This window comes from Homo sapiens, chromosome 1 (genome assembly GCF_000001405.40).
Source record: "Homo sapiens chromosome 1, GRCh38.p14 Primary Assembly".
NCBI classification, from domain to species: Eukaryota; Metazoa; Chordata; class Mammalia; order Primates; family Hominidae; genus Homo; species Homo sapiens.
In genome coordinates, this window is record NC_000001.11 from 197,136,690 (window position 1) to 197,146,899 (window position 10,210).

General features: G+C 37.5%; 1 protein-coding gene and 1 pseudogene across 2 annotated transcripts in view, besides 1 other annotated feature; both read right to left on the bottom strand.

Annotated features, from left to right (window-relative positions):
* Positions 1–9,980, bottom strand: part of ASPM (assembly factor for spindle microtubules) — a 62,543-nt gene extending 52,563 nt beyond the window's left edge. For both annotated transcript variants that reach the window (NM_001206846.2, NM_018136.5), the window contains exons 1-4: positions 9,452–9,980; positions 7,268–7,411; positions 5,642–7,121; positions 3,078–3,182 (exon numbers count right to left, since the gene is read on the bottom strand). In NM_001206846.2, coding sequence (NP_001193775.1) covers positions 3,078–3,182; positions 5,642–7,121; positions 7,268–7,411; positions 9,452–9,748 — 2,026 coding nt within the window. In that variant the 5' untranslated portion in view covers positions 9,749–9,980. The remainder of the gene's footprint in view (positions 1–3,077; positions 3,183–5,641; positions 7,122–7,267; positions 7,412–9,451) is intronic.
* On the bottom strand, positions 1,859–2,618 carry SEPTIN14P12 (septin 14 pseudogene 12; annotated as a pseudogene).
* Positions 9,485–9,664: a silencer, noted in NCBI's record as "silent region_1659". NCBI's record gives its function as "represses an Ori minimal core promoter by ATAC-STARR-seq in GM12878 lymphoblastoid cells {active_cell/tissue: GM12878}" and the evidence as "EXISTENCE:reporter gene assay evidence [ECO:0000049][PMID:35858748]".

Consider the following 10,210-nt stretch of genomic DNA (forward strand, 5'->3'; position numbering starts at 1 on the left):
CTAAAGATAAAAGAAGTTAACAACTGAGAAAATGACTGGCAAAAATCAGTAACTCTGACTTATTAAAACTCTCCATGCTACATAAATCTGGAAACTCTATTTCACATAAAACTGGAGCTGAAAGAGACAAATATTTACTTATAAAATTAAAAGTTATATGGGAAACAAACACTAATTTTTTTTAGAAAAAATATGAACAGAGTAAAAATATGCCTTATAGTTATCATATAATATCATGTTTTATAGCTCTGGGAAAATAGAAAATAAAATGTTCTGTTAGCATGAATCCTTCTGTGCCCTAAAAAAACCCTATGGATCATACTATTATTACCTAAAAAGTCTATTCTCAAATGCAGCAGAGTGATAATTTTTATAAGGTAGATATTATTTTTAGATATGGAATAATATTGGTGATTTCAATTTTAATAACATTGGATTAAGATGAAAGAATGAGAAGATAAAGGTCCCTCAGCAATATAACTCACAAACATGTTCAGAAGCAGTAAGAAGTCACATTAATTATTTTTTGAAAGTCAATAATCTACATTTTTAATTTATGCATATAGCATAGCTAATGTACTATTGCTGGGTCCATTTATTCAAGGAATAATTGCCGCTATGTGTCAGACATTGTTCTAGGCCTAGGAATGGACACTTAAGTGAACAAAGCAAAGATTCTGGTTCTTGTAGTTTCCATTAAAAGACCATTTAGTAAAATTTTTCTTCCCCCAAATTATAAAATCTGTAAGATGATTTAACAACATGTATAAAAGTCATCGTAGGCCGGGCATGGTGGCTCATACCAGGTGTAGTGACTCATAGCGCTCTGTCACTCATGCTGGAGTGCAGTGGCACAATCTCTGTTCACTGCACCTCTGCCTCCTGGGTATAAGCGACTCTCCCGCCTCAGCCTTTCGAGTAGCAGGGACTACAGGTGCACACCATCATGCCCAGCCAACTTCTGCATTATCAGTAGGGATGGGGTTTCACCATGCCAGCCGGGCAGGTCACAAACTCCTGACCTCAAGTGATCCGCCCACTTTGGCCTCCCAAAGTGCTGGGACCACAGGTGTAAGCCACTGCACCCAGCCTTATTTTTACAACTTTGATAACTTTAGCGTATACCCCAAATCTGTAAGACATAATATTATCATTCAAATGCAACTCATGGCTTCTCATTGTACTCTGATTTTCTCTAGCTTTTGAATTCTTTATTCTAATATCAGTTTTAAGTCTGACATAAAAGCATGAGAGTTCTAATCAAAATCCAATCTTTTATCATAATAAAAACTATCAAGAAATTATTAGAATTTAAAAAGGAAAATAGGCCTATTAATTAGATTTGTATAACATAATATTTTATGCCTATGAGTCCCCAACAAAGCCTCAAGCTTCTATTTAGATATAAAATGTAAAAGTCACTACTGGATCCACAAGCAGGACTATGGTAAAGAAATTTCTCCACCTAAACTGCTCCTTTAACATGATGTTACATGTTTATTTTTTCATTTTGGCAAATATTGATTGAATGTCATCTTCGTGTTAGTCTACATCCTAAGTGCCAGGATACAGAATCTGAAAAGATGGACACAGGACCTGTCTTCAGGGAGTTCACACCTTTTTATTTCTTGAGATGGAGTCCCGCCCTTGTCGCCCAGGCTGGAGTGCAATGGCAAGAACCTGGCTCGCTGCAACCTCCACCTCTGGGGCCCAAGTGACTCTCCCAGCCTCCCAAGCAGCTGGGACCACAGGTACCGGCCACCAAGCCCAGCCAACTCTTGTATTCCCAGCAGAGACAGGGCCTCATCATCCTGGTCAGGCTGGTCTTGAACTCCTGACCTCAGATGGTCCACCTGCCTCAGCCTCCCAAAGTGCTGGGATCACAGGCATGAGCCACCACGCCCCACTAGGAGTTCACACTTTAGTTAGGGAAAATATACAATAAGCAAGCCAATTTTTAAAATAAGAACTTCAATCAGATTTAAATGCTACAAATACAATCACAGGAAGCTGGGATGTGAATGATAGGGCTCTCAAACAGAAAATTAAGAGAAACGATTATTTCTTACGATGTTTGTCTTTCTTTGTATTGGTGCTCAGCTGAGTCTGCAGTGCCTCAGAAGCAGCCTTCATTTTATAAAAAATCTATTATTTCTCCTTCCAGTTGTTTTTTCTCTTCTTCGAGCTTCCTTATCTCCTCCTGTTGAATCATTTTAAGATGCTTGAACTTGTCCTGCAGCTCTTTTTCAGCTTCTTTCTCCTTGACTCGCTGCATAAATCTGTTTCAACTCTTCTTCTCTCTGACATTGATCATAGCACTCTTGTCTTTTGGCTTCAAAGATTTCTTGAAAACTAACTGGCTGGTTGTCTGGGCCCAGATCTGTAAAGCCCATTTTCTGCAGTTTTTGGTACCTACAGCATTCATAGTGCTGAGTGTAGGTTTTTCTTTTAGATTTTCCACATTGGTACAAAGAAGCATATCTTGGAGCTTAACGAAGTCACAGTGATTTTCATTTTCCACTTGGAAAACTCCCCAAGGCTAGTGACGGCCTCTGACCATCCTTTTACCAACTTTCACTTCATCCATACTCCCTACCACAGCAAAGGATAACAGCCCATGTTTTTGGCCGGGCGCGGTGGCTCACGCCTGAAATCCCAGCACCCTGGGAGGCGAGGGGAGGGATCACGAGGTCAGGAGATTGCCCGACCACCCCGGCCAACACGGTGAAACCCCGTCTCCACTAAAAATACAAAAAAATTAGCCGGGCATGGTCGTGGGTGCCCGCAGTCCAAATATCTGTCTTTTCTTTATGCTAGAAACATCAGTTATTCTCTTCTAGCTATTTTGAAATATACAATAATTACTATAGTGACCCTACTGATCTATTGAACATTTGGTCTTTATTTCTTTTATCAAACAGAAAGTTGACACAATATCCTGTCATTTTAATACACACTTTAACAATTCTTCCAGGCTGTTATTCAACAACAAAAATCAATTCATTTCCATGTGAAATGCAATTAATGCTTCATTCGATGTCATGTTTTCAGAGAGTTTAAGTATAATAAATACTTGCCTGTTTTTAATGGTTTTATGAAGGTCAAACTGGACTGTGCCACAGCGATAATGGGTTTTGTCCTTTTGTTTGTTTTAGAAATTGGAGTTCTGAATATTGATAAATCTAAAATAAATTAGAAAACAAAACTAAGAGCATTAAAATACAAATTCCCTAAATAGGTCAGTGATTTGAAAGTTAAAGTTTGGGTTCTTCACAATCATATTCATTTAGCAAACACTTAATAACCACTGTACTCCACGCACTAATGCTATGAATTCAGTGGTTTATCAAACCAACATCCAGAAGTCACAGACCATAAACCACAATTTATTTTGTGTTTACAGAGGCTAAAGTCTAGATTCAACCAAAACTTATTGTGTCTGTATATTCCAGACTCTCTACGAGGTGCTGAGAATATGCAGAATTGAAAAATATGGTCTCAGCCCTGAAGTAGTTCTCAGTCTGGTAAAAAAAGAAGTTTAAAAATGGTAGAAGAGCCTTCCCAGATGGGAATCTACTTGAGTTAACTTATGAAATTAAAATTAGGCATGAGGAATGTGGCCTGTTGCCAGAACTGCAATAAGGATGAAGCAAAGAATACACGTAGGAAATGACATACAAGAGGCTAGAAGAGGTAGGGAGGAGTTCAATAATATTCAAAATAATAGTGGCAGCTAATACTTAAATACTTTGTGCCAGGCACTATCATAATCTTTTTCTCACACAGTTATGAGAACAAATTTATGAGAAGTGTACTATTATTACCACAATGTATATAATTAGGATACTGAGGCTTTGAGCAATTAAGCCACATGGTCTAAGGTCACATAAGCTAGTAAGTAGCAAAGATTTGAACAAAGGCAGTATAGTTACAGAACCTCCACTATTAATCACTTTGAAGCACCTTCTATGCTAGTGAAGAATTTTAATCAAGGAAGTAAAAACCCTCATTTATATTTAAGAAAACAGTATGGACAATGGAATGAACAGGGTCAAGATTAGAAACAGAAAATTACAAAGCAGTTATTACAATGACCCAAGGTGGATATGGTGAGACAAATTAAAACAGAGTCAATGGAGACAAATCAGAGGAGAGTTATTTTAATAGTGGAAGAAACAACCCTTAATACCAACTTATTAGAAAAGTGATAGAGAATAACAGGCTGATTCCCAAATATGTAACCAAGATGGTTGATATAATGCCAGGTGGCTATCAAAGAAAATGCAATACAAATTGCAGTAGCAAATAACCTATTGGAATAGCAGTTCACTCTTTCAAAAACAGGTTTCACAACAAAATATACTGCTACTAAATATAAGCAAAGAGACAATAAGAGCAGGGGTCAGCAAACTACATCCATTCCCCATGCAAAACCCTCCCTACTGTTTTTGTATGTTCCAAGAGCTAAATATAGCTTTTACATTTGTAAAGAGTTAAAAAAAAAATGAAAATAATAATATTTCATAAAACACAAAACTTACATAAAATTCAAATTTCGGTGTTTATGAATAAAATTTTACTGAAACACAGCCATACTCCTTGATTTGCACATTGTCTATGGCTGTTTTCCCACAAGTGCAGCAGAGTTGAGTAATTGCAGTGCAAATCTATATGGCCTGCAAAGCCTAAAATGTTTACTATCTGGACCAGTAGAGGAACAGTTTGCTTACCCTTGTTTTAAAGTAATCTCAAACCTATATCAATTGTGAAAATAAGGAACATGACTAAATTGCAACATAATACTTATTAGATTGTAAGGTTCTATGAATTGAACATTTAAAAAGTAAATTTCTAAGGAGAAATTCCTCATTCTTAAACCTTACAGAAATTAGTCCCTCTCCCTGCAACCATTTTCTTCTTTAGGAAGTCTTTCTTGGAACCATCTCATACTTCCTTGCAATTTACACACAAACCCTCTGCTTCTGTGCTTCCTTAATTTCCTAAGCATAGCATAATCACAGGACTGAACGCAACTTGAGGACAGGAATTATCCCTTTCCTCCCTGTGTACACAGTGCCTAGAAAAATGCACATCACATAGTAGGTACCTTATCAGTCAAATAAATATATCTAGAAAAATTGCCTTCTCTGTTCCCTTAGATTTGTCAAGAGGTAGAAAGAGCCACTCTTGGTGACTTACTTGCCTCTCACATAGGCTCATAAATCAGATACCCAATATGTACAATTCTGATTCTAGACTAGAGGCTCAACCAGCTGGCTGCCTCAAACAAACAGTAGGTGTGAGTGTCGACCTTTCAGTGGTTTATTTGTTCATTTATTCACTTATCCATTCATTCAATTCATCTTTTATTGTACATCTTGTAGGAGATTAAAATAGGTATGTTCCTTACTATCAAAGAATTTGTTATCTGATCAGAACATATCTACAAGAAACAGCAAAAGCAAAGAAAAATCAGACAGATACAAGATGTCACATAAGCTGTATTCACATTTGCTAAGGAAATGTACCCAGCAAATAAGTAAAAACTATAATACAAGCTTATCAATAGCAGATTTACTAAACCAAAAGGAAGTATCCCCTTTACAGGTATACTTCAGTAGATTTTATAAACAAGACTCACCAGTTTTCTTCTTCAGGTTTAATTTCTCTCTGTTGCTAATACGTTTTGAGATGGGTGTTGTCACATTTTTTGTTTTCTTAACAGCTGATGTTTTAGGCTCTGAGGGAGAAAAATGGATTCTTTTGATTTCTCGCACTTCTGTATGTTCTGTAATTGCAACTCTCACATTTGCATCTTCCATGCTTCCATCGCTCTTTCTTTTCCGAGCAACTGAAGCTGTTGTCGAAGAGGGTGTTACCTCGTTTTTATAACTCTTAGATTTACTTAATATTGGATCTATAATTGGAAGATAAGAATGAAAATCTTCTTTTTCCTTTTGATTATTTATTACTTTTTCATGTTCACCCACTGCACTGTTGAGACATCTTTTTGCTTTTGGTTTATTAATCTCAGTTTGGTTTTCTCTGGTACAGGTGGCCTTCCTTTTAGTAACAGTGGCAGAAAGTATTGGACGTCTCTTAGGTTGTTTATTGTGGCTATGACTAGAAATATCCTGAACTGCAGAAAATTTAGGATTATTTTGTTTTATAAAACTGTAGTAATTTGACTTCATTTCTACTAGTTCTTCAAAAATAGCTTTGGGAGATTTTGAACCCTGACATTCAGGAATACGTGGCGAAACTTCACTTTTTCTCCAATCTTCAGGAGACTGTGGGACTTGAGAATTTTCATTTGATAATGGTACTTTACATGTTTGCTGAGATGTACACATATATGCCATGTTATCTTTTAAAAATTGATTAGGGGATAAAATAGGATTAACTGACTCTGATTCTAGATCCTGATTTAGTCCATAATTATCTTTTATGAAAGAATCTGGACTTAAAATTTTCTGATAAATTTCATGTGCAATTGTTGATTCCAAATGCACAGGCTGTGAATTATCTTTCATAAACATATCTGATGAAAGACATGTTACTAATTCTAGTTCATTATTAGCTCCATGACTATTATTTACAAAAGAATCTGGACTTAGAAAATGTATTTGGCTTTGTGTAATGTTCAAAGTTGAAGAACAGTTGGGGGTAAGACTAAGTTTACTATTCTCTCCTCTTTGGCCATTAACATTTACGGAATTAAAGGAAGTTTCAGTTACAGCTTTCTCATTAAAAGAAACTTTTGAAACGTTGGCACTGTGTACATTTAATAGTTCCCTATTTTCTGATGCATGAAGAGATGAGTAGGTAGTAGATCGACGTACAGAGAGTGGCAAGCAAGTTGCACCATGGCATTCATTGAAAGCAGGGCTAATAGGTGATATGGGTATTTTATTTTCTTCAAGTATTAAAGAATTGTTTTCTGTTGGGGGACCGCCTTCATTCATAGCCAAGTTTTCACAAGCTTGTAGTGGGCTCCTAACTCTGTCAACTTTTTGGGAAACACTAAATGTTTTATTAACATTCTGAATATTTGAAACCCTTCTGTTGTGACTTGTAGAGGCTGAAATTTTCTTCTTTTTAATGGTATCCCAAAGACTCCTCTGCAAAAATAAGGAAAATATACCAATTAAGTTTGTAGCTATTGAATATTAAATAAGCAATATTACTTCAAGCCTGTTATCAAAATAAGTTTTATTTATTATTAAACAATTTCTTAGAGTAAATCACAGAATGGTTAAAACATTACCTTTTTCTTTTTCTGCTCTTCTGCATTTCCTAGTAATATAGCTTGGTGTTTCAGAACATCATTTACAAGAAATGTCATAATCTCTCTTACTCGGCCTTCTTTGAGTGGTGTCCAGTTAACAGAAATAACAATTTTCTCTTTAGGCTATAATCAAAACAATACATTATATAATTACAATAGTAATTACATAATAACCAAAACACCTTATATACAACTTACAATATAGTAGGGCTTAATAATTGTTAACCAACACTCTATATACTAAACATTTAATAAATCAAATATATTTCTCCTACCCTATCTGCTTAATTATAAGAAAAAAAGTCACTAAAAATAACAGGGTTCACAACAAAATAAATAATAAAATCTTAACTGTATTAAAGCAATAGAACAGATAGTCTCTAAATCATTTTGTTTGAGTGGTTTCAAAAGATTTAATTGTACATTTCTAATTTTTAGATGTGTAGAGTACTTCTACTTCAAACACAAGGACCCTGCATTATGAAGACTTTATTTAAAAAGAAATGTAAAGATGATCAGCTAAATTCCTTCTTCCTTACAAATTCCTCTAAGGTCCACATCATCATACTGAGATTTCTTAAACAGGTATTATTGTTCCAGGCATAAGTGCAGGTATCCTGTAAAACTCATTTAATGCTAACATCCCTAGGAAGCAGGTATTATGATTATGCACATTTTACAGATGAAGTAACTAACATCCAGAAAAGTCTGCCAAAGTCACGCAGGTACCTATTAGAACCCAGGCAGTCTAATGCCAGAGTTTGGACTTTAACATCTACACCCCACACCCTGGCAGGTAGACAGAATCTGCCAAATTTAAACGCTGACATGACAAAACAAATTTTGTTTTTCAGGAGAAACAGACAAGTTTCTGTTTTAAAGGAGAAATAATATAACATCATAAACAACTAATTTTAAAAAATAAGAATGGTGCATTTTTACTCTATAAAATAGTTTATTCTAAAAATACCACAAAATTTAGTTCCACATTATAACAAAAAAGAGTAAGTTGAAGTATTATGTGGATAGAAAAGAAATCTGTCTTTCCAAAGAAAGGAAAGCAGGCAGTGATTCATGAAACAGAGGGGCGGGGTGGGTAGGTTCTGAAGTGTAGATAGATGAACCATTGGTGACACACAAGTTAAGGGACCTCAGATTAGAATCTCTTTTTTCTGCCTAATGAAGTGGTTATTAGCCTACTAGTTCAGACCTCCTCGGCTAACGGTTTTCATACTTTTGGTGATTCTACTCAATGGAAAGGTCACAGCAGTCAAAATAAAAACATAAATTCTCCAGTCTTTGGTGAAGGGGATTGGAGCATTACTCTTGCAAATGCAATGCAGTAAAAGAAAGCTACAGGAGTTCTTGAAACAACATTTATAAAATTAAATTTGATGCAGCATTAAAATTACACTTAACAGCAAAGAAAAAAAGGACTAAAATACTAAAGTGTGCATACATACTACACGTATATATTGAAAACAACTCTGAATAGGTTTTTTTGGTTTTTATTGTAGGCATTTAGCCAGAACAAAGCTCACTATTTCACCGGAAAAAAAAACCAGTTACCTCGACTCTAAGGGTACATATGGAAACTAAAATGCATATTAAGATGGCTGATAGAAATTTTAAAAAAAGCTGCTTTAACCAACCAAGGTACTCCTGTCAATCTTAAAAAAGTGTTAAAAAAGTGCATTGTCTATTAATTTAGAACGGCAAGGCTATTTCACAACGCCTTAAGTCTAGTAAAAGTGCTTGTCAATTTAACAGAGAAGTCTATATAACTTGCTCCTAAAGATGCTAAGTGCGCGCGCGTTTATGTGTTGTCCCCGCCCAAGTTAGCGTCTATCCTAGCCTTCAATTAGAGAATATATATATATATATATATATAATATTGACACATATATATATACTCACACACATGTGTATGCGTCAAGGGCCCACCCACAGTTATTGAAAAGGAACTGACTTCACTCTCTAAGGGTCTTTTCTGATTTCTTTTCCAAGAGCCACCCACAGTTATTGAGTGAAAGGGAACTGACTTTATTCTCTAAGGGTCTTTTCTGATTTCTTCTCCAATCGTCAACCTTCCTGAGGAGGGTGGCAGGAAAGATAGCGGAGAAGCAGAACACCGGCCTGGAGCACGCTCCTCCTGAGACCTACCTGCAACACGAAACAGCGCTGCGACACACTGAAGCCCAGGTCCGCGGCCGGGAAGTGGGAGATCTTCACTTCTGCCACCTCCTCGTTAGGGTTGTCTAGGGCCAGAGACAGCGTCCGTGAGGCTCCCAGGAGAACGTCCCCGAAGCAAAGGAAAGGAGACCTGCAGAAGTGGCTGAGAGACAGGACCGGCGGGGAAGACGCCTCCTCCTCGGCCGCGGGGCCCCGCAGCCCCGCGGGCGGCCTCCGCTCGGTCGGGCTCACTTCCCAGCAGCCTCGCCCCACTCGCCGGTTCGCCATGGCAGATTCGAGACCCCTCCTGGATCTCCTTGCCCCGCTCCCACGAGGCGGCTCCGGAGCGGGGATCCGGGACTTACGCTGACCGCTTCCCCTCAGGGGCGGCTGTAGAGGTCGTGGGAGTGAATTCGGCCCTTTTTCTTTTCCACTAACCTACTCCCTAGAAAACAGAAAACAAGCCCAATAAACTCGCAAATTAAAAAGAGGAGCCAAACAAGTATGGCGTTTTGACTCTGTTTAAACTTGCCGCCTCCACCAATGAGGACCTCCGGGCACCGCCCTCCTCGTCACGGGACCAATCGGTGAGCAGCATCCCCTGGCCAATGAGACGGCGGCGCTTCATTTGAATGATTGCATCCGGCCGCCAATCGCTATCTGCGGAGGAGGTGAGAACGGTAGCGGAATCCTGGCCACCGTCTAAAACCCGGGGCTTAGAATTGAAATTCGTCTTTATATTTTTGGTTG